At 39.8% G+C, this 25,166-nt stretch overlaps 1 protein-coding gene and 1 pseudogene across 1 annotated transcript in view, besides 1 other annotated feature; both read left to right on the top strand.

Annotated features, from left to right (window-relative positions):
- Positions 1 to 18,025, top strand: part of XKRX (XK related X-linked) — a 72,428-nt gene extending 54,403 nt beyond the window's left edge. The window contains exon 4 of the mRNA XM_011530954.4: positions 16,129 to 18,025. Coding sequence (XP_011529256.1) covers positions 16,129 to 16,168 — 40 coding nt within the window. The 3' untranslated portion in view covers positions 16,169 to 18,025. The remainder of the gene's footprint in view (positions 1 to 16,128) is intronic.
- Positions 9,047 to 9,548: an enhancer, noted in NCBI's record as "NANOG hESC enhancer chrX:100150382-100150883 (GRCh37/hg19 assembly coordinates)". NCBI's record gives its function as "activates a minimal SCP1, AML or CMV promoter by ChIP-STARR-seq in naive H9 embryonic stem cells {active_cell/tissue: H9 hESC(naive)}" and the evidence as "EXISTENCE:reporter gene assay evidence [ECO:0000049][PMID:30033119]".
- HNRNPA1P27 (heterogeneous nuclear ribonucleoprotein A1 pseudogene 27) lies at positions 16,268 to 17,312 on the top strand (annotated as a pseudogene).
- Positions 18,026 to 25,166: the final 7,141 nt, after the last annotated feature.

Genomic DNA, 25,166 nt, shown 5'->3' with positions numbered 1-25,166 from the left:
TTATCCAAACCAGCTCATGGTTTAGCCTTCTCTATATGGTTCCCTGCCCTCCATGTGCTTATATTCTTGGCTTTGGGCTCCAGCCCTTCTTCCTTTCCTGACCCGTTTGGCTCTGCTTCTCTGGTTTACCAACTTCTACCTGCCTCACTTGATTTTCCAACTTGCTCTTCTCCATCGGATTGGCTCACTTACCCATAAGACCTTCCTTCTGCCAGCCTCAACCCCCAGGTATCAACACCTGCTGGACAAGCTTCCTTGTCTCCCAGCCAGGAGAGTAGGATTAAACAGGCATAGCCAGGTCAGAAAACTTGAACTTCCCTGGGAGTGGCATGGAAGAATCATGTGCTTAGGGCGCCAAGCCAGGAATTCAGCACCAGAGCAGGAAAGCAGGAACTTATTTAATTAAGAATGAAGTTGAAAGCTTTTTAATTTTAATGAAGTCCAGCTTATCAATTATTCCATGGATCATACCTTTGGTATTGTATCTAAAAGGTCATCATCATATCCAATGTCATCTAGATTTTCTCCTATGTTATCTTCTAGGAGTTTTATCATTTTGTGTTTTACATTTAAGTCTCTGATCCATTTCGAGTTAATTTTTTGAAGGGTGTAAGGTCTGGGTGTTTTTTTTGTTTTTTGTTTGTTTGTTTGTTTGTTTCTGCATGTGTATGTCTGGTTATTCCAGTATTATTTGTTGAAAAGACCATCTTTGCTCCATGGTATTGCATTTGCTCCTTTACCAAACATCAGTTGACTATTTATGTGAGTCTATTTCTGGGCTATCTCTACTGTCCCATTGATCTATTTGTCTACCCTTTCACCAATACCACACAGTCTTGATTACTGTAGCTTTATAGTAAGTCTTGAAATTTGGTAGCGTCAACCTCTTTGTTCTTCCTTTCCAATACCAAGTTGGCTATTCTGGGCCTTTTGCTTCTCCATAAATACTTTAGAATCAGTTTATTGATATCCACAAAATAATTTGCTGGGATTTTGATTGGGATTGTATTCAAGCTATAGAAGAATTTGGGAAGAACTGACAGCTTGACAATATTGATTCTTCTTATCCATGAACATGGACTATTTCTTCATTTATTTAGTTATTATTTGATATCTTCCATCAAAGTTTTGTAGTTTTCTTTATATAGAACTTGTACTTATCTTGTTAAATTTATACTTAAGTATTTTATTTTGGGGGGTGCTAATGTAAATGTGCATATGAAAAGATATTTGACATCATATGTCATTAAGGAATTGCAAATTAAAACAACAACAAGATACTACTACACACCTGTTAGAATGTCCAAAATCCAAAACACTGATAATACCAAATGCTGTAGAGCAACAGGAACTCCATTTCATTGAAGGTGGGAATAAAAATGGTACAGTCAGTTTGGAAGACAATTTGGTAGTTTCTTACAAAACTAAATATACTCTTACCATACAATCCAGCAATCATGCTCCTTGATCTGTTATAAATTTCAAATTCTACTTGTTCATTGCTGGTATATAGGAAAGCAATTAATTTTTGTATATTAATTTTGTATCCTGCAACCCTGCTATAATTGTTTATTAGTTCCAGTTCCAGCAGTTTTTTGTCAATTATTTCAGATTTTCTGCATAGAAAATTATGTTAACTACAAAGACACTTTTATTTCTTTCTTCCCAATCCATATACAGTTTATTTCCTTTTCTTGCTTTATTGCATTATCTAGGACTTCCAATATGTTGGAATGCAGTGCTGAGATGAAACGTTCTTGCCTTTTTTTGTTGTTATTTGTCTTTTTGTTTTTTTCCTTGTTTCTGATCTTAGCAGAAAGCTCCAAGTTTCTCACCATGAAGTATGATGTTAGTTGTAGGTTTTTTGTTTTTTTTTTTAAATAGATGTTCTTGGCCAGGTGCGGTGGCTCACGACTGTAATCCCAGCACTCTGGGAGGCCGAGGTGGGTGGATCATGAGGTCAGGAGATCGAGACCATCCTGGCTAACACAGTGAAACCCCATCTCTACTAAAAATGTAAAAAAATAGCCGGGCATGGTGGCGGGCACCTGTAGTCCAGGTACTCGGGAGGCTGAGGCAGGAGAATGGCGTGAACCCTGGAGGCGGAGCTTGCAGTGAGACGAGATCACGCCACTGCACTCCAGCCTGGGTGACAGAGCGAGACTCCATCTAAAAAAAAAAAATAGATGTTCTTTATCAAATTGAGGAAATTCCCCTCCATTCCTAGTTTGTCAAACATTTTTATCATGCATGGATGTTAGATTTTGTCAGCTTTTTTCTGTATGTATTAATAGGATCATATGGTTGCTATTTAGTCTGTTAATATGATGAATTACATTAATTGATTTATAAATGATAGAACAGACTTTCATTCTTGGGATGAATCCCACTTGTTCTTGATATATTATTATTTTTTATATTGTTGGATTAAATTTGCTAATACTTTGTTAAGAATTTTTGCACCTATGTTCATGAGAGGTATTTGTCATTTTCTTGTAATGTTTTGTCTGGACTTGGTATTACGGTAATGCTGGCCTCATAAAATAAGTTGGGAATTGTTTCATTCTTTTCCACTTTCTGGGAAAGGTTATAGGCAGTTGGTATCATTTTATATCTTTCATTTCTAATATATGCATATAATGCCATAATTTTCCCCCTCAGCACTGCTTTCACTGCATTCCACAAATTTTGATAAGATGTATTTTAATTTTCATTTAGTTCAAAATATGTTTTAATTTCTAGACTTATTCTTTGACCTGTGAGTTATTTAGAACTGTATTGTTTAATTTCCAAATATCTGGGAACTTTTCAGCTATCTTTCTGTTACTGATTTCTAGCTTAATTTTTTTTTTGTCTGAGAATGCATTTTGTATGATTTCTATTCTTTTAAATGTGTTGAGTGTATTTTATCATCTAAAATGTGATATCTTTTTTTTTTTTTCAGATGGAGTTTCGCTGTTGTTGCCCAGGCTGGAGTGCAATGGCACAATCTCAGCTCACTGCAACCTCCACCTCCTGGGTTCAAGCAATTCTCCTGCCTCAGCCTCCCAAGTAGCTGGGATTACAGGCATGTGCCACCATGCCTGGCTAATTTTGTATTTTTGGTAGAGACAGGGTTTCACCATGTTGGTCCGGCTAGTCTTGAACTCCTGACCTCAGGTGATCCACTCGCCTCAGCCTCCCAAAGCATTGGAATTACAGGTGTGAGCCGTCATGCCCAGCCTCAAAATGTGATATCTTGATGAATGTTCCATGTGCACTTAGGCAGAATGTATTCTGCTGCTGTTGGGTGAAGTGTTTTGTAAATGTCCATTAGGTCAAATTGGTTGATAGTACTGTTAAGGTCATCTGTATCTTACTAATTTTCTGTCTGATCTTTAAATTACTGAAAGAAGGGTATTGAAATCTCTCACTTGTGGATTTTTCTGTGTCTCCTATCAGTTTTACTAGTTTTCTTTCATGGATTTTTAGGCTCTGTTGTTGCATGCATGTTTAGGATGGTATGTCTTCCTGGAGAATTGACCATTTTATTATTATGTAATGCCTCTTTTGTTCAAAGACTTTTTTTCTGAAATTAATATAGCTACTCCAGTTTTATTTTGCTTAGTGTTTGCATGGTATATCTTCATTCTTTAATTTTTAACCTAATTCTTTAAATGTAAAGTGAATTTCTTATAGACTGCTTACATTTGGGGCTTTTTCTCCCATTATTCTTTCTTTATTATTTACACTTATGACACATGATATATACACACATATGTATATAGATAGATACATACACACAAACCAATGGCACCAACTTTGGTGTACATCAGAGTTACTTAAGGAGCTCGTTAAAAATGGAGATTGTGGGCCAGGTGCGGTGGCTCACGCCTGTAATCCCAGCACTTTGGGAGGCCAAGGCGGGCAGATCACGAGGTCAGGAGATCGAGACCATCCTGGCTAACACGGTAAAACCCCGTCTCTACTAAAAATACAAAAAAATTAGCCAGGCGTGGTGGTGGGCTCCTGTAGTCCCAGCTACTCGGGAGGCTGAGGCAGGAGAATGGCGTGAACCCGGGAGGCAGAGCTTGCAGTGAGCCGAGATCGTGACACTGCACTCCAGCCTAGGCGACAGAACAAGACTCTGTCTCAAAAAAAAAAAAAAAAAAAGGAGATTGTGAAGCTGGGTCTCGAGGATAGGGGCCAGAGGTCCTACATTCTCAAACCCCCCTTCCCCTTAAGGTGTTTTTATATATATGATAGATTCAGTCTTTGAAAACCAGTAGGACATACATTCTTTTTTTTCTTTTTTTTAATTTTACAGAAGCGAGGTCTCGGTATCTTGCCCAGGCTGGTCTCGAACTCCTTAGCTCAAATGATTCTCCCACCTCGGCTCTGCAAAGTGCTGGGATTTTAGGTGTGAGCCACCATGCCCTGCCAGGACATACATTCTTAAAATGATATCAAATATTAAATTATGGATATGATCATTCTTTATTACTTGAGGACAAGAAAAAGTAATTGTCAAAGACAACTGAGATTTTGAGTCCAGGTAGCTTGGAGAGGAAAGGTAATATTAGTGAAAAAATAAGGACTGGGGCTGGGTGTGATGGCTCACACCTGTAATCCCAGAACTTTGGGAGGCCAAGACAGGAGGATCACTTGAGCCTAGGAGTTCGAGACCAGCCTGGGCAACATAGTGAGACCCCCATCTCTACAAAAAATAAAAAATTATCCTGACTAATGGTGCACACCTGTAGTTCCAGCTACACCAGAGGCTGAGGTAGGAGGATCACTTGAGCACAGGAGGTTGAGGCTGCAGTGAGCTGAGATTGTGCCTCCCAAAGTGCTGGGATTACAAGCATGAGCCACTGCACCCGGCCAAGTCTTTCAGTTTTGTTTTTCTTTTCCAAGATTATTTTGGCTATTTGGGGTCTTTTGCAATTCCATTTAAAATTTACATTCATGTTTTCCATTTCTGCAAAAATGATGGCTGAGATTTTGATAGGGATTGCATTGAATCTATAGATCACTTTGAGTAGTATTGTCATGTTAATATTAAATCTTCCAATCATAAACATGGGATATTTTTCAATTTATTTAGGTCTTCTTTAATTTCTTTCAACAACGTTTTATAATTTTCATTGTACAAGTCTTGCCCTTCCTTGGTTTAATTCACTCCTATGTATTATTTTTTATGCTATTGGAAATGAAATTGTTTCCTTAATTTCACTTTTACATTGCTTCTAGTGCATAGAAACACAACTGAATTTTTGTGCTGATCTTACACAGCACAACAGGTTACAACCTGTAACTTTGTTAGTTCGAATTGCTTTTGTGGATTCTTTAGAAGTTTCCATATATAAGATCAAGTCATCTGTGAATAATTTTACTTCTTCCTTTTCCATTTGAATGGGCTTTCTCAATTTCTCTCTCTCTTTTTTGAGACAGGGTCCCACTCTGTCACCCAGGCTGGAGTGCAGTGGCATGATCTCGGCTCACTGTATCCTTTGCCTCTCAGGCGCCAGTGATCCTCCCCCCTCAACCTCTCAAGAGGCTGGGACTACAGGCCAGTGCCATGACACCCAGCTAGCTTTTGTATTTTTAGTAGAGATGGAGTTTCACCATGTTGGCCAGGCTGGTCTGGAACTCCTGACCTCAAGTGATCCGCCTGCCTTGGCCTCCCAGAGTGCTGGGATTACAGGCATGAGCCACCACGCCCGGCCTGTTCTTAGTATTCTCTTAAGACAGTTTATTTAAAATCTTTCGCTAGTGATTCCACTACCTGGGTTTCCTCAGGAGCAGTTTCATTCATTTCTTTACTCTTGTATACATATGGGCCATGCTTTCTTGTTTCTTTGCATGTTTCATTATTTTTTTGTAGAAGACTGGATACTTTGAGTATTAAAAGTTGGAACTCTGGAACTCGGATTCTTCTCTATTGCAGGATTTTTGTTTCTGCTTGTTGTGGATTGTTGTTTGTTTAGTGACTTTTCTAAACTACTTGTTAAAGTCTGATTTCTTTGCTACATGTGGCCATGAAGTCTGTGTTCCATTAGCTTAGTGGTCAGCAAGTGTTTTGATGAAGTTTTCTTCTTAATGCCAGGAGTCAAAAAATAAAGAAAGAAAGAAAAGAGAAAAAGAAACTAATGCTCTTCCAAGCCTTGTAGATTGGCTCTTTTTTGGGGGGTAGTCCTTCAATGCTTAGCCAACACATTTGCAACTATGCCTCAGACTTCATGTCCTGCTTATGTGGAGTCTGATGGTCACCCACCCATGAAAGCTTAAGGTTCTCTCAAACCTTTACAGAGCATGTGTTCAACCCTGGGCATGTGCATGGCCTTCTTGTTTTTTTTTTTTTGTTGTTGTTGTTTAGGTGGGAGCTTTTGAAATCCATTATTCCCCTCGGTATCTCCTTTCCTAGCCTCCTCCTTCCCATTCTTTTCAGTCTGTCTATTGCTTGTCCTAAGTGCTATCTCTTGCCAAGGCTGCTGTGAAATGCTTTTGGCAAATCTTCCCAGTAAGCTGCCCCAGACCTTGGAACATTTCAAGTCAGTTGAAAAAAAAAAAGGCAAGCCCTTGCACCCTTCCTTCAGGGAGTCACCAGACAGATCAAAATACACATCCACAATGAGAAGAGGTCTGTATTGTTTCCTCTGGCAAAAGCAACTTGCACCAAGAATGTAGGCTGCCATTTTCATAGGTGCCACTGATCTGGTGAGTGAGGACAGCAGACAGGCAATTTTAAATGCCAGAGTCTTCAGTTATTACAATGTAGCAGCTTCTTTATTCATTAAGCTTTCCCTTGGTTAGTGTAAATTGTTGACTAGATTCCAAAGTATTGTGAAAGTTGCTTCTGACAGTTTGACAGCTTATTAGTTACCTTTATGGAGGACAGAACCCTGGAATTATCTACTCCACCATTTTTAGTGACCTCGGCTTTTAATTTTTGTGTAAGGACAGCACTGCCACTCGTAACATGCCTGAGCCAAAACCAGATGTCCCTTCATTATTTTTATGCACAAATTGTCTTATCATTGGCCAGTAGAATCCCCTCCAAAGTGGTTCCTTGTTTTTTTGACAGAATCCCAGTAATCTTTGATAGCTTCCTTGCTTTCTGCTGCAAGATGTCCTAGGCTCATCTCATACATTTACTGACCCCGACCTGGATAGCAATTTCTCCAAAGGATTCTGACTCCTTCAGTGGGAAATGGTATTGAAAGACCAAAGGCTGGGTGCTAAAGGTCTTTTTTTTTTTTTTTTTTTTTGCTGTTGAGTTGTCATTGCTTCTGGGCTTTTCGGTAGAAAGAACTAGGAAACACACACACACACACACACACACACACACACACACACACACACACATATATATATTTGTGGGATTTTTTTTTTTTTGCCCAGGCTGGAGTGCAGTAATGTGATTTCAGCTCACTGCAACCTCCACCTCCCCGGTTCAAGCGATTCTCTTGCCTCAGCCTCCCGAGTAGCCAGGACTACAGGCATATGCTACTATACCCAGCTAATTTTTGTATTTTTTGGTAGAGACAGGTTTCACTATGTTGGCCAGGCTAGTCTTGAACTCCTGACCTCATGTGGTCCACCTGCCTTGGCCTCTCAAAGTGCTGGGATTACAGGTGTGAGCCACCGCATTTGGCCGAAAAAGATATTTTTAAATGTGAAAAATATAATGAGTTTATAAAGCTATTTCCAATTCAAATTTAATGGTACAGGGTTTTACCCAATTTCTTTATCTTGTACTTGTGTCTTTTTTCTCTTACCCTGACAATCTTTGTTTCTAAGTATATTAACTTCATACTTATTTGCTTAATTCTAAACAAACCAATAATAATTTAAAAATAACAATACCAATATTACTATTAACATTAAGACTATGGAAAGCAGTTTAAGATTTCTTTGTGCTTCATTTTGTCCTTAGATCATATATCATTAGGGATGTACGGTCAAAATATTGTTTTAAAGTAATTTGAAGGTATTCTATTTGTATGATTATGCCACCAACTTGATAAACAGTGAAGTTCATTTGTTTCAGTTTGTTTTTAGTTTTTTGGGATTGATTCTTATTTTCCCTTTGAGTTAATATTATTAAAAATTTTTTCTAATAATTTTTTTACATAGGGTGTCACTCTGTCTCCCAGGCTGGAGTACAGTGGCACAATCACGGCTCACTGCAGCCTCAAACTCCCGGGCTCAAACAATCCTCCTGCCACAGTCTCCTAAAATGCTGGTATTACAGGCGTGAGCCGCTGTGCCTGGTCACTTAATTTTATTTTTAATTATGCTTCCAAAGATGAAACTAGTTAACAAGATACATCCAGAGAAATTTAGCTTCCGTTCCTATTACTTCATCCTGTTCCCTCCTTCCCCCAGTTTTGTAAGATTGTGGTTCATACTTTTAATGTTTCTTATTTAAAAATATAAGCAAATATATGTATAACCACACATGTATGTGTGTATTTCCCTTTTTGTACACAAAGATGATACATGATAAAAACTGTTCTTTACCTTGATTTTTTTCACTTCATACATCCAGAGATCATTCCATGTGAATATATGAGAATTATTTTCCTTTTTACAACTGTGTATTACTCCATTATGTGGTTATATTGGGTTTTTTCAGTCTTTTAATATTATAAATAATGCCAATAAATAGCACTGGGCATATGTCATTCTGCATTTTTTTCCAGTATGTCTTTGGAATAGATTCCAGGAAGTGAGATTGCTCTATGTATTAACAAGTTCCCCTCCAAATGGGCTATACAATTTTGCATTCCCAGCAGCAATGTGTGAGGGAATCCAGGTCTTTTTATATCTTTCCACAGAGCCAGTGTGGACCAAATTGGTAACTCTGAGTTTTATGGCCTGGGAGAGACTTCACCTCCCTCACCACTCATCCCACAGAAATACACCACAGCTCACATCCTATTATTTTTCCTATTACATACCCTGTGCTTAAAACAAATGGGTTGCCTAGCAGGAATGAGCAACCCTTTGTGGCAAGCCTTGTCTTGTTATGAGCCACTTCTCAAGTTTGCCTGGCTGCCTGTGGCTGAGGAAGGTTCTGAAACATGTTAAACAGCCCTGACAGCCTGATTGCTAATGAGTCTACATTGTCAGCTGTCTACACTAACCAAGTGATCTCGCCCATGAACCTGTGTCTGGAGGGTATACCCCAGTATACACAAGGCAGAATGGAACATCAGATGTTCATCTTTCTGCTTCTCTGAAGTGCTTGCTTTCTATTCATTATTACCAACATTGAAATAGACCCAATGGAGGCCCCGCAAGACAGACCCATCATTGTTTTTGTTGTTGATCTTTCACCTGTGGTGCTGGCCTTCACTTCCATTTGCTGCCTCTCCCTGTGTCTCCTTGGAGCTCTCGCCATCTTGTGGCAGGTCAGCAGGCTTCAGAACGGAAATGTCGACTTTACCTAAGTGTGAAGAAAATCAAATCCAAACTCCTTACCATGCTATACTGTATATGTGCAATGTATACTGTTCATAATTTGCTTCAAAATGCTTCAGTACCAGCTGTGTGATATACCTTATTTCATCTATTCTAAAATGCATATCTTTTTCACTTTTAATCACCTCTGAAATTAGGATGAATTTTACCATTAATAATATGTCATAATTTAATTAACAGCAAATTTTCTTTCTGGGTGCAGAAAAGAATGATGAGTCTTACAACCTATGACATTTTGGATTCATGAATTAATTATTTAACAAAATATTGTGTCTGTCTATGAAATGATCTTTTGAAATACCAGCCTAGGCTGGGGACAGTGGAGGTAGGAAGAAGGGGTGGATTTAGTATATACTTTGAAGTGGAGGAGAAACCGGTAATGTTTATTCATACTGATAAACAATTTTTACAATTCATTGTTAATTAGTTTTAATCCACACTCTGGGGGTGGTTAGTTAACATCCGAATTATTCTAATCAGGAATACATACTCAGGAGTGATTAGTTATTATTTGAAAGATCCTACTCAGGTGTTTACATCCCAGAAGTAATTATACCCCAGGATATTCACTTTTTCCTGTCTGAACTTGCACTAACTCAGAAATTCTTATACTTTATTTTTGCCATGGTCCCCTTTGGCCAACTGGTGAACCCATTTCAGAGTCATGCTTTTAATACCCAAAATAAAATACATAGGATTACAATCAAAACCAATTGTGTAAGCCTGTAGTTACAGCACTTTGGGAGGCTGAGGTGGCAGGATTGCTTGAGGCTAGGAGTTTGAGCCAGTCTGAAGAACATTGGAAGACCAGCCCCCCATCCCATCCCACTCCTCCCCACTGCCTCTACAAAACATTTAAAAATTAGCTGGTCATGTTGCTGTGCACCTGTGGTCCCATCTACTTGGGAGGCTGATTACTCCCCTGCCATCGCTTGAGCCCCGGGAGTGGAGGCTGCAATGAGCTATGGTTACACCACAGGCTGAAAAAAACATAAATGCATTCAAATGCAGATATCAAAATATTAAAGATGCAATTTATGACATTAACATGTGCTTCTTCACCCTCAGGTTTATTAAGGTATGATTGACAAAATTGTATATATTTATGGTGTACAGCATGATGTTTTGATATCTGTATGTATTGTGAAATGACCAAGTCAAGCTAATTTAAATATAATTATCTCACGTACTTATTATTATTATTTTGAGACAGAGTCTCGCTCTGTTGCCCAGACTGGAGTGCAGTGCCGCAATCTTGGCTCACTACAACCTCCCCCTGCCGGGTTCAAGCAATTCTCCTGCCACAGCCTCCTGAGTAGCTGGGATTACAGGCATGCGCCACCATGCTAGGCTAATTTTTGTATTTTTAATAGAGATGGGGTTTCACCATGTTGGTCAGGCTGGTCTCAAACTCCTGACCTTGTGATCCGCCTGCCTCGGCCTCCCAAAGGGCTGGGATTACAGGCATGAGCCACCGCACCCGGCCTACTTTTTAAAAAATTTTTATTTTAGATTCAAGTAGTACATGTGTATGTTTGTTACATGGGAATTAAATGTGTAATGGTGAGGACTGGGCTTCTAGTGTACACATCACCAAAATATTGAACATTGTACCCAGTAGGTAATTTTTCACCCCTTCCTCCTCTCCCACTCTCCCTCCTTTGGAGTCCCCAGAGTCTATTTGCCCCATCTTTATGTCCATGTGTGCCATTTGTTTAGCTTCCCCTTGTAAGTGAGAACATGCACTATTTGATATTCTGCTTCTGTGTTGGTTCACTTAGGATAATGGCCTTCAGCTGCATCCATGTTGCTGCAAATGACATTATTTTGTTCTTTATTGTGACTGTGTAGTATTCCATGGTGTATCGCCACCACATTTTCTTTATCCAATCAACTGTTGGTGGACACTTAGGTTGGTTCCATGTCTTTGCTATTGCACATAATGCTGTGACAAACATATGTGTGCAGGTGTCTTTTTTATACAATGATTTCTTTTCCTTTGGATAGATATACAGTAGTGGGATAGCTAGATTGAATGGTAGTTCCCTTCTTAGTTCTTGGAGATATCTCCATACTGTTTTTTTGTAGAGGTTGTACTAATTTACATCCTCACCAACAGTGATATACTTACCATTTTTGTGTGGTGAGAACATTTAAGATCTACTCTCTTAGCAATTTTCAAGTATATAATACATTATTATTTACTATAGTCACCATGCTGTACAATAGATCTCCAGAACTGATTCATCCTCACCGAAACTTTGTACATGTTGACCAACATCTTTCTATTTCTCCCACCCCAGTCCCTAGTAGTCACTATTCTACTCTCTGCTTCTACCAGCTCAAATTTTCAAGATTCTACACATAAGTGAGATCATGCAGTATTTATCTTTCTGTGCCTGGCTTATTTCACTTAGTGTAATATCCTCTAGGTTTGTCCATGTTGTCACAAATGAAAGGATTTCCTTCTTTTTTTAAAGCTGAATAGTATTCTGTTGTGCATACATACCACATTTTCTTTATCCATTCATCCACTGGTGGACACTTAGTTGATTCCATATCTTGGTTAATGTGAAGAATGCTGCAATGAATTTGAGAGCGAAGGTATGCCTTCAACGTATTGATTTCAGTTCCTTTGGATATATACCTGGAATAGGGATTGCTAGATCATATGGTAATTCTGTTTTTAACTTTTTTAGGAACCACTTACTGTTTTTCATAATGGCTGTACTAATTTACATTCCCACTAACAGTATGCAAGGGTTTCCTTTTCTCTATACCCTCACCAACACTTGTTATCTTTCCTGTTTTTGAAAGTAGCCATCCTAACAAGTACGAGGTGATACCTCATTGTGGTTTTGATTTGCCTTTCTGTGATGATTAGCGATGGTGGACATTATTTTTTTATATCCCTGTTGGCCACTTGTTTGTTGTCTTTTGAAAATATTTATTCAGATCCTTTGCTCATTTTTAATTGTTTTTTTTACATTTATTTTAATTTTTTTTAGCTTTAATTTTCATGGGTACATAGTAGGTATATATATTTGTGGGGCACATGGGATGTTTTGATACAGGCATGCAATGTGTAATAATCACATCATGGAGAATGGGGTATCCATCCCCTCAAGCATTAAACCTTTGTGTTACAAATATTCCCATTATACTCTTTTAGTTATTTTTACTTATACAATTAAATTATTATTAACTATAGTCAGCATGTTTTGCTATCAAATACTAGGTCTTATTCATTCATTCAAGCTATTTTAATTGAGTTATTTGTTTTCTTTCTAGTGAGTTGTTTGAGTTCCTTACATATTTTGGATATTAACCCCTTATCAGATATACTGTTTGCAAATATTTTCTCCCATTCTGTAGATTGTCTCTCTTTGTTGATTATTTCCTTTGCTGTGCAGAAGCTTTTTAGTTTAGTGCAATTCTATTTGTCTAGTTTTGCTTATGCTTTTGGGGTCATATCCAAAAATTTATTGTCTAGACCAATGTCAAGAAGCTTTTAAATTATGTTTTCTTCTAGTAGTTTTGCAGTTTCAGGCCTTATGTTTAAGTATTTAATCCATTTTGAGTTTTTTTTAATATAGTATAAGATAAGGGTCCAGTTTCATTCTTCTGCATGTGGATATCCAGTTTTCCCAACACCATTAATTTTTTTAACTTACTTTCTTTCTTTCTTTCTTTCTTTCTTTCTTTCTTTTCTTCTTTCTTCTTTCCTTCTTTCCCTTTTTTATGAATAGAGATGGGGTCTCACTATATTGCCAAGGCTGGTCTCAAACTCCTGGGCTCAAGTAATCCACCTGCCTCGGGCTCCCAAAGTGCTGGGATTACAGGCATGAGCACCATGCCTGGCCCCCAAAATCATTTATTGAAGAGACTGCTGTTTCCCCATTGGTACCTTTGTTAAATATCAATTGACCATAAATGTGTAGATTTATTTCTGGACTCTTATTCTGTTTCCTTAGTCTATATGTCTTTTTTATGCCATTACCATGCTGTTTTGGTTACTATCTCTCTGCAGTATAATTTGAAATCGGGTAACATAATTCCTCCAGTTTTGTTCTTTTTGTTCAGGATGGCTTTGGCTATTCTGTGCCTTTTGTGGTTCCATGTGTATGTTAGTATTTTTTATTATTATTGCTGTGAAAAATGTCCTTGGAATTTTGATAGGGATTGTATTGGCTCTATAGATCACTTTGGGTAGCATGGACATTTTAACAATATTGTGTGTTCTTTTTTATTAACCTAGCAAATAGCACGATCTAGAGCAGGTCTATAATCATCACAATTTTTAAATAGTGATGAGCATAACTGATCTTATGAGATATTTGCAACAGCTATAATGTGATATGAAAATATTTTTGATATATGTTGGTGAGAAAGTTGCAGACACTGATAATAAGACTATAATTTGTTGACTACATTCAATTAGAAATGAATAAAAATAAAGGTTTAATTTTTCCCATCAAAGTCCAAAGAGCACCCCTAAATTCTATTCACAGAACCTCAGGGGAGGAAATCTTGTACCAGAGAGTCCATTAATTAGTATAAAGGATGTAAGAAATAATATTTCATTGGTGAAATGAATTCTGTTAAAAATATGTGCAATGGCTAGAAATTTTGTCCATGTATGAAGGTACATGCTTGCATGAATAAAAGATAAAAATCTGGCAAGCCAGCCCAACAGTTCAGCATGTTCTGGAATGGCATCTAGGCCTCAGACTTTGTGTGATCCTATAAAGAGCCAGCTTGCCAGATGTCCCTAGTGATAATAAATGTTATTTTCAGCCACTACATGTTGGGGGTAATTTGTAACACAGCAATAAATAAATAAAATAAATAAATAGTATCACGTAATAGAAGATTTTCCTGTTCCAACCAGAAGATAGGTTGATCCTGTTACCATAATATTAGGCCAACTATTTCATGTGGATTTTTTATGTAAAGGACTTGCTGGAGTTCCTAAAGATCAGAGCATGTATTAGGTTGGTGCAAAAGTAACTGCAGTTTTCGTCATTGCTTTTAATGGCAAAAACCGCAATTACTTTTGCACCAACCTATACTTGACCCACTTTACAAGGAAAGACTGTGTGACTGTTTTGGTCCCTGATTGCTAATAACTGTATGTGTCATAGAATTCAGTCTGACAATTACTTTCATTTTAATATTCTACCTAGTAAGGAGGTTGTAGGAGAGGTGACTTATGGCCCTCGCCTACCTCTAATATTCAGACGCTTCTTAAATCTACCAAAAACAACGAGTTTAGGTCCATTTGCAAAGCCCTAGGTAATCTGACTTTTATCTACCTCTCTGAACTTACCTCTCCCCACCTACCCTCACTTCTGTCCAGCAACTCTGGTTGTATTCATTTGCTGGGATGCCATAGCAAAGTATCACAAATTGAGTGGTTTAAATACCAGAAATGTGTTGCCTCATACTTCTGGAGGCAGGGTTTGTTCCTTATCAGGGTCTCACTCTGTCGCCCAAGCTGGAGTGCAGTGGCACAATCATGGCTCACTGCAGTCTCGACCTCCTGGGGTCAGGTGATCCTCCCACCTCAGCCTCCCAGGTAGCTGGGACCACAGGCATGCATCACCACGCCCAGCTAATTTTTGTATTTTTTGTAGAGATGGGGTTTCACCATGTTGCCCAGGCTGGTCCCAAACTCCTGGGCTCAAGCTATCCACTCACGTCAGCCTCTCACATTGCCGGGATTATAGGTGTGAGCCACCACATCTGCCTGGGTTTGTTCCTTTTGGGGGCTGTGAGGAAGAATCTGTTCCATGCCTGTCTCCTATCTTCTGGTGGTTTGCTGGCTATCTTTGGCATTCCTTGGCTTATAGAAGCATCACCCTGATCTCTACCTTCATCTTTATATGGTGTTCTCCCCATGTGCATGTTTGCATTCAAACATTCCCCCTGTTTTTAGCCAGGCACAGTGCCTCACATCTGTAATCATGGCTACTCGCAAGGCTGACGCAGGAAGATTGCTTGAGGCTAGGAGTTCGAGACCAGTCTGGATGATCTAGGAAGACCCTGTCTCTGAAAAAATTTAAAAAAATAAATAAATAAATAAGTAAAAAAAACTTGCCCCCTTTTTATAAGGACACAGTCATATTGGATTAGGAGCCTACCCTACTCCAGTATGACCTCATCTTAACTAATTACATCTATAAGGTACCTATTTTCTTTTTTCTTTTTCTTTTTCTTTTTTTTTTTTTTTTGAGATAGAGTCTTGCTCTGTCACCCAGGCTGTAGTGCAGTGGTGCGATCTCAGCTCACTGCAGCCTCCACCTCCCGGGTTCAAGCAATTCCTGTGTCTCAGCCTTCCTAGTAGCTGGGACTACAGGCACGCACCACCATGCCCGGCTAATTTTTGTATTTTTAGTAGAGATGGGGTTTCACCATGTTGGCCATGACTGGTCTCGAACTCCTGACCTCACTTGATCAGCCCACCTCAACCTCCCATAGTGCTAGGATCACAGGCATGAGCCACTGCACCCAGCCAGTTCCCTATTTTCAAATAAGGTCATATTCTAGGGCACTAGAGGTTATGTCTTCAACATATGAATTTTTGGGGAGACACAATTCAACATATAACTCTTGCCTTCTTGCTGTTCCTCTAGCACACTAAGCTGATTTTCATTTCAGGTCCTTTGTACATGGCAAGTCTTTCTGTCTAGAACCCTAAAGAAGCCTGGCTGTTCCCGTCTCAGCATACACATGTTATCTCATATGCCACCTTCTCAAAAAGGACTTCCCTGATCACTCTATTTAAAATAGCCTCTCCAGATACGTTTGTCAGCTTGCTCCTTTCTGCCTGTGGATGCCAACAAAGAAGCATCATTAAAGTCTCTCTTCTCCCTTCCGTCGTGTCTAAGTCAGAGTCTCCTAAAGAGCCCGAATAGCTGAGGAAGCTCTTCATTGGAGAGTTGAGGTTTGAAACAACCGACGAGAGCCTGAGGAGCCATTTTGAGCGATGGGGAATGCTCACAGACTGTGCGGTAATGAGAGATCCAAACACCAAGCGCTCCAGGGGCTTTGGGTTTGTTACATACGCCACTGTGGAGGAGGTGGATGCAGCCACGAATGCAAGGCCACACAAGGTGGATGGAAAAGTTGTGGAACCAAGGAGAACTGTCTCAAGAGAAGATTATCAAAGATCAGGTGCCCACTTAACTGTGAAAAAGATATTTGTTGGTGGCATTAAAGAAAACACTGAAAAACATCAGCTAAGAGATTATTTTGAACAGCATGGAAAAATGGAAGTGATTGAAATCATGACTGAGGCAGTGGCAAGAAAAGGGGCTTTGCCTTTGTAACCTTTGACGACCATGACTCCATGGATAAGATTGTCATTCCGAAATACCATACTGTGAATGGCCACAACTGTGAAGTTAGGAAAGCCCTGTCAAAGCAAGAGATGGCTAGTGCTTCTTCCAGCCAAAGAGGTCAAAGTGGTTCTGGAAACTTTGGTGGTGGTTGTGGAGGTGGTTTCTGTGGGAATGACAACTTTGGTCATGGAGGAAACGTCAGTGGTCGTGGTGGCTTTGGTGGCAGCCATGGTGGTGGTGGATATGGTGGCAGTGGGGATGGCTATAATGGATTTGGTAATGATGGAAGCAATTTGGAGGTGGTGGAAGCTACAATGATTTTGGCAATTACAACAGTCAGTCTTCAAATTTTGGACCCGTGAAGGGAGGAAACTTTGGGGCAGAAGCTCTGGCCCCTATGGTGGCGGAGGCCAATACTTTGCCAAACCACCAAACCACAGTGGCTATGGTGGTTCCAGTAGCAGCAGTAGCTATGGCAGTGGCAGAAGATGTTAATTAGGAAACAGAGCTTAGCAGGAGAGGAGAGCCAGAGAAGTGACAGGGAAGCTGCAGTTTACAACAGATTCGTGAACTCAGCCAAGCACAGTGGTGACAGGGCCTAGCTGCTACAAAGAAGACATATTTTAGACAAATATTCATGTGTATGGGCAAAAAACTTGAGGACTGTATTTGTGACTAATTGTATAACAGGTTATTTTAGTTTCTGTTCTGTGGAAAGTGTAAAGCATTTCAACAAAGGGTTTTAATGTAGATTTTTTTCCTTGCACCCATGTTGTTGATTGCTAAATGTAATAGTCTGATCGTGACGCTGAATAAATGTCTTTTTTTTTTTAATGTGCTGTGTAAAGTTAGTCTACTCTGAAGCCATCTTGGTAAATTTCCCCAGCAGTGTGAAGTTGGAATTCCTTCAGGGTGATGCCAGGTTCTATTTGGAATTTACATACAACCTGCTTGGGTGGAGAAGCCATTGTCTTCAGAAACCTTGGTGTAATTGAATTGATAGTTACTGTTGTGACCTGAAGTTCACCATTAAAAGGGACTACCCAAGCAAAATCATGGAATTATTGGTTATAAAAATGATTGTTGGCACATCCTATGCAATATATCTAAATTGAATAATGGTACCAGATAAAATTATAGATGGGAATGAAGCTTGTGTATCATCCATTATCATGTGTAATCAATAAACAATTTAATTCTCTTGAATGAAATGACAACTCTATGGATTTGGGAATGGCAGAGATTTGGACTTTCCTTACCCACTACCCCTGATTATGTTGAATGCTTCTATCACAATTCAAGTTCAAAGCTCTGCCAGGAATAGAAACTAGCTGCTGGCTAATGCTGCTCCATAAACCCACAGATTTGAAGTGTTTGGGCGGCCTTTTAAAAATGACCATATCAGAAAGCATTTTAATGAGCATAAAGATAGGCTTCCATTAAAGGAGAAAAATAAAATAGCCTCTCTACCTCACACACATCATTCCCTACTCCCTTTCCTGTTTCAGTTTTCTTCATAGCACTCATTACTACCTGAAATACTTTTATTTTCAGTTGTTTTTATCTGTCCCTCCCACCAGAATATAAGTTCCTTGAGGACAAGAAACTTGTTTGTCTTACTTACTTCTGTATCATTAGCTCCTAACATAATGCCTGTTCAAAATTAAATATTTAATAAATGTTGAATGAACATTGAATGAACACTCACTTTGTTCTCCAATTGAGTCTCTAAAAAATCCAGTAGAATCAAGTTTCCACTGAGAAAATACAGCTTATTTCAAACTCCTAAAGACATTCATTTTCCCCCTTTGAAATAAACTACACCTATCTAAGAGACCAATTATAAAACAATAAAATACTCCTCTCTCCCACAGTTGCCTTTTTTCTCTCTTCTTGTACTACCAGGAAACTACTTAATGGTAGCAAAAATCAGAGTGAAGAGAGGTTAGTTCCAAGACAGAAACACATTGTCAATCTTTACTCAAAGATTGTCCATCACCTGCTCTCTCTCCAGCCTAGCTAGCTCTTTTCAGGCCCGATAGGCACACATTAATGGGCCTGGCTGGACCACCTATGAGACAGAAAAGGGTGATCCCTTCCATTAGATTAACAGGCTCAGAAAAGACTAGGGAACTAAGCTGACTCCTTTTTTTTTTTTTTTTTTTTTTTTGAGGCGGAGTCTGGCTCTGTCACCCAGGCCTAAGTGCAGTGGTGCGATCTCAGCTCATTGCAACTTCCACCTCCCAGGTTCAAGCAATTCTCGAGCCTCAGCCTCCCGAGTAGCTGGGACTACAGGGACTACAGGTATTAACCACGTCTGGCTAATTTTTGTATTTTTAGTAGAGACAGGGTTTCACCATGTTAGCCAGGCTGATCATGAACTCCTGACCTCAGGTCAGCCACCCGCCTTGACCTCCCCAAAGTGCTGGAATTATAGGCGTGAGCCACTGCACACAGCCTAAGCTGATTTCCTCTTCTTCTTTTTTTTTTTTTTTTGAGACGGAGTCTTGTTCTGTCACGCAGGCTGGAGTGCAATGGCATAATCTCGGCTTACTGCAACCTCCACCCCCTGGGTTCAAGCGATTCTCCTGCCTCAGCCTCCTGAGTAGCTGAGATCACAGGCGTGCCACCACCATGCCCAGCTAATTTTTATATTTTTAGTAGAGGCGGGGTTTCACCATGTTGGCCAGGCAGGTCTTGAACTCCTGACCTCGTGATCCGCCCACCTCGGCCTCCCAAAGTGCTGGGATTACAGGTGTGAGCCACCCCACCCAGCCCTAAACTGACTTCTAGCTGAGATTTCTGAATGTAAGAGCTTTAAGTCAGAGCAATGGCTGTTTTGTTCCTCAGAGGTTTTTCAAAAGAGAATTGTCCACTTCGAGTTCTGACCTGCCTGAAAATTGAGTGGTGAACCTAATGACCTCCTGCCTGCTGCCTCCCAGCTCTTATATGACTTATGACAATTACTAAGACAAATTGATATCTAAACAAAGTCTCTTGGGGATTTTTTGATTATTGTTTGCTTTCATATCTTCTGAATGATCAAAAGAGGACTCTAACAGGAACCTTTGATGTTTATCCAAGTAAATTCAGGTTTTTCCTGCAATAACGAAAGTAAGCTTGTTTGTGGTTTGTGAAGATTTAAGCAAAGGAGGAGAGAAAAGTTGATTTTTAAAAACTGTTTCTTAAAAGACAAATCTTTAAATGAACACAAGAAAGAATTTAATTTAACAATTTTCTGAGATCAGGTTCCAACTTTTTTCTATTTAATCTTTTTCCAAACCTGCTTAAGTCAGTAGTTTTTAAGCCCTTGTGAGTTGCAGACACCTTAGGACAAAGCATCTCAAATTTAATATGGGTATGAACCACCTGGTGGTCCTACTAAAATGAAAATTCTGATTCAGTAGGTCAGGGGAGGGCATTGTTGGATGGATCAAATGCATCTCCAAGCTTCCCCACTTGGGCACCCACTTTGGCTTCAGCCCACCTCCAAATGCCCAATGCACTCCTGTTTTTCAAAGTCCACTGCTGCAGTATCCCATTCTAACTATTAATTCTTGTCAGATGCCCCTGCTACAAATCTTTCTGTTTTTACCTCACCTTCAAGTTTACCTCTCTTAGGTGTGTTTCTCTCTGGACCCTACTCTCAGTGAAAATATAATGAGCAACAGGTGATCGTGGGTTGATGAGTTATTTCTCTTTCTCCCTTGGACAGAAGACCAAGTCCACTCATCCCTCCACCACCACAAGGTAACAATGGAATTTAACTATAGCTTTCAGGAACAAAGCTTTTCTCAAAGGAAAAATTCCAAATGGTAAAATTTTTCTGCCTTATAACACACTAATGGAAAGGCTATTTTTTAGTGGTTTGGAGAGGAGGAATAGAATTTCTAATTTCTCAGAAAAAAAAATCCATACAACCTACTTAGATAACTGCCAATCTGACCTGCTTACACTCTGCTCTGCCTCTCATCTGCTCTGGTCCCATTAAAAGCAACATTGTCTTATTTTAGAAATGGAACCATGAAACTGTTAAACGACCAGTTATTTCATGGTTATGTCCAAAGTGGTTGAAATTCCAAAGTAAGGGAAGCAACCAATTTATCTTTTTATTTTCTTTTTTCTTTTTTTTTTTTTTTTACTGAGAGACCTTGATGACCCATGGTTAAGAGCTTCAAAGCAGCGTCCAAAGTCTTAACCATGAAAATATTTTTCTTAACTGCAAAGAGGGCTCAGTCTTCACAATTCAAATTGTCTCATCTTGTACTCTCCGGAAGGGAGGGCAAATATTTGCATTCTGTTCTGGGAGAGGTCCCTTCCGCTAAGAATGTGTTAAGTGCTCCTAATACAACAAAGGAAAAGGATTTTTTTTTAAAGCAGTTGCATTTCCTTATTTAAAAGGCCAATCATTTACACACTGCTTTACTTGCAACCGAAATAGTTCCAATGCATTTATCCACAGCACATTATGCTGATGGTAGGGACTGTACATTGTCAACCTTTAGCTCTGAAAACTTGTGACTTTATCTTCTTCTTCTTTTTTTTTTTTCTCGAGACGGAGTCTCGCTTTGTCACCCAGGCTGGAGTGCAGTGGCGTGATCTCAGCTCACTGCAACCTCCGCCTCCAGGGCTCAAGCAATTCTCCTGCCTCAGTCTCCCAGGTAGTTAGCTGGGATTACAGGTGCCCGCCACCATGCCTGGCTAATTTTTTGTGTTTTTAGTAGAGATGGGGTTTCACCACGTTGGCCAGGCTGGTCTCAAACTCCTGAGCTCAAGTGACTCGCCCGCCTCGGCCTCCCAAAATGCTGGGATTACAGGTGTGAGCCACTGCACCCGGCTTATCTTCTTTCCCAGGCAGAGTAGTCAGTTCAGAGCCAGTAAATATGGTTGCAGGAAAGTCTTTTCTTTACCATCTGTATTACTTTCCTATTGCTGCTATAACAAATTACTATAAACTTGGTGGCTTAAAGCAACACACACTTATTATCTTATGGTTCTGGTTGTCATAATTCTGCATTGGGTCTCACTGGGTTAAAATCAAGGTGCTGACAGGGCTGCATTCCTTTCTGGAGGCTCTGGGGGAGAAGTTCCAGCCCACATTCCTTGGCTCCTGGCTTCCTTTCTCTATCTTCAAAGTCAGTAAGAGTGGGTCATGTTCTCATATCTCATCACTCTGACTTCTGTGTCCCTCTTCCATTTTTAAGGATCCTTGTGATTACATTAGGCCACCCATAGAATCCATAATAATCTCCCTGCTTTGGGGTCAGCTGATTAGCAACCTTAATTCCACCTTCATTCCCCTTTGCCATGCAAGGTAACGTATTCACAGGCTTAGGATGTGGACATCTTTAGGGGGCTATTATTCTGCCTACCACACCATCACATGACAAATGTTTATTGAACATCTACTGTGCATAGAGAGCTTTGTGCTCTGCCTTAAGGAGCAATCTGGATAAGATAGGACTTGCTCAGAAAAGGGTAAATAACAATGGGAGGTTTCACAGGCTATGAGAGAGGTAAGAAGATGAGGAACTCATGCTATGTCATGCTATAAAAATTGGAAGACAGTGTGGTATGATGACTGAGGTGGTCAGAGAAGACTTCCTGGAAGAGGCAGAGCTTAATCGGTCTTCAAGAAAAGGCAAGAGTTGAATATTGTTTCTGAGCTGAATAAGTCTCACATATACACTTTTGAGGGCAGATTTCCAAAGTAGCAGATGTAACATGAAAGTACTCATTGCTATTCTAGTGATGTCTCCATGATACTTACTGGCCTAAAAATCACTGTTATACATACCAGCTCATTTGATGCTCACCACAGCCCTGTGATGGAAGTAGGGAGAACAGGGAACTACATAAACCTTTCCATCATTGAGTCCCCAGGCCCCTTTCCAGGCCTAGGGCCACCCCCAGTGTTCTTTCTTCCTTATGGCCATGGGGATACCACCTGTTTTCTTCTTTGGTAATTACTCCCCAAGCCTAGCTGCAGAATGAGACACAAACTCTGCACCTTCCCAGTTTCTTGCTACTATTGAAGCCAAGCACACAGGCTCATTTAAAATTTGCTAAACTCTGGAGAAAACAGGGTAAAACCGACGGACATAAGGTAGTGACAAAAGTTTCATAATCTTACAAAGTTTGTATAATAATGGTCTCTGATCTATAGTTTCTGCTCCCCTTTTCAATAGCAAAAGAAAGTACCATTGAGTTTAGGTCCTCTGCTTATATTTTCTTAGGGCTCATCATCATCATCATTATTATAGCAAGCAACTATGGAGTGCTTTTTATATGTCAGGCAGTGTTCTCATTGCTTTCCATACTTTAACTCATTTAATTCTTATAACAACCCATTTTATGGATAATGAGGCAGGCTTCAAACCTAGGTAGACTGGCTCTGGAATCTATATCTAACCAGTACACCATACTGCTCTACCATCTCTTCCGTACCACCACTTTGCCTTCTGCCTATCAATATAGGCTACAATTTGAACACTTTCTCCATGAGGGATCAGTACGCTAGGTTACAGATGAAGAAACTGAGGCTGAGCAAAGTTAGACTTTTCCAAGGGAGCATTAATAGTGAGTGGGGAGCTGGAGGTCAAATCCAGCTCCATCATACCATATTGCCTTTACAAGGTGCTACTTTGGTGAGGTCTGGTTCTGCTCCAACATAGTAAAAAGAATTGATTTCAAATAATTCCACATGTATCAGTCCCTCTTATCATTATGGGATGTTTCATTTTTGGACGCTGTAATCAAGACCAAATTAATACCTTTAAAGGCTCTAAGATTTAAAAGAAACAAATGGGCCAGGCGCGGTGGCTTACGCCTGTAATCCCAGCACTTTGGGAGGCCGAGGCGGGTGGATCACGAGGTCAGGAGATCGACACCACAGTGAAACCCCGTCTCCACTAAAAATGCAAAAAAAATTAGCCGGGCGCGGTGGCGGGCGCCTGTAGTCCCAGCTACTGGGGAGGCTGAGGCAGCAGAATGGCGTGAACCCGGGAAGCGGAGCTTGCAGTGAGCCGAGATCGCGCCACTGCACTCCAGCCTGGGCAACAGAGCAAGACTCCGTCTTAAAAAAAATAAAATTAAAATAAGTAAATAAATAAATAAATAAACGAATGTCCTCCCAACACCATCCTCTATGGATTCAAATTAAACGTAATTATAAACAATAAAATAAGTAAAACAAACTATCATTTTCCCCATGACTACTTAAATTTTTGTTTTTGAAAACCAACCATCAAATTCTTTTATAAATTCTTAAAATAATTCTCAAAACAATTTTTTCTGATGTCCTAAGCACATGTTTAAACTGTTAAGTAATTCAACACTCTCTGTTATATATTAATTCCTGGAAGAGGTGTACAAGAGTTGTAACTGTAAAGGCAAATTTGGGACAAATGAGGACAGACACAAGTGATCAGGGAGAAGACACAACATGCAGGTCAGGTAAGGGCTTTGTGTTTACAGTTTGCAAGAATCCACCTACCATGGGTGGGATCAACCGTCTACAGGAAATCTTTCCAAAAGACTGCAGTCTATGGTAAAACTGTGAATAAGTTACTGATGACATTTAAGTACTCCCTAGAGATCTCCAGGAAGCAACCTCAAATTTAGTCAATGCCGCATAATCCATAAACCTGGGAAATGCAAACATTAAGACAGGTGAAGCAATACAGGGTGGAGGGGACTATTATAATGTCTAGAGCCAACAGAAGGAAAGCAATTCTGGGAGAATTTACAAAAAAGGGAGGTTGATGGTGAGAAGTTTTGTTTATTTATTTTAACTTATTTTTATTTTACTTTAAGTTCTGGGATACATGTGCTGAACGTGCAGGTTTGTTACATAGGTATACATGTGCCATGGTGGTTTGCTGCACCTATCAACCCATAATCTAGTTTTTAAGCCCTGCATGCATTAGGTATTTGTCCTCATGCTCTCCCTCCCCTTGCCTGCCACCCCCCAACAGGCCCCAGTGTGTGATGTTCCCCTCCCTGTGCCCATGTGTTCTCATTGTTCAACTCCCACTTATGAGTGAGAACATGCAGTGTTTGGTTTTCTGTTCCTGTGTTAGTTTGCTGAGGATGATGGTTTCCAGCTTCATCCATGTCCCTGCAAAGGACATGAACTCATTCTTTTTTATGACTGCATACTATTCCATGGTATATATGTGCCACATTTTCTTTATCCAGTCTATTATTAATGGGCATTTGGGTTGGTTCCAAGTCTTTGCTATTGTAAATAGTGCTGCAGTAAACACACACGTGCATGTGTCTTTATAGTAGAATGATTTCTAATCCTTTGGGTATATACCCAGTAATGGGATTGCTGGGTCAAATGGTATTTCT

The sequence above is a fragment of the Homo sapiens genome, chromosome X (genome assembly GCF_000001405.40).
Source record: "Homo sapiens chromosome X, GRCh38.p14 Primary Assembly".
Taxonomy (NCBI): Eukaryota; Metazoa; Chordata; class Mammalia; order Primates; family Hominidae; genus Homo; species Homo sapiens.
The sequence above is the reverse complement of the archived record's forward strand: the minus strand, read 5'-3'. Positions and strand labels throughout refer to the sequence as shown.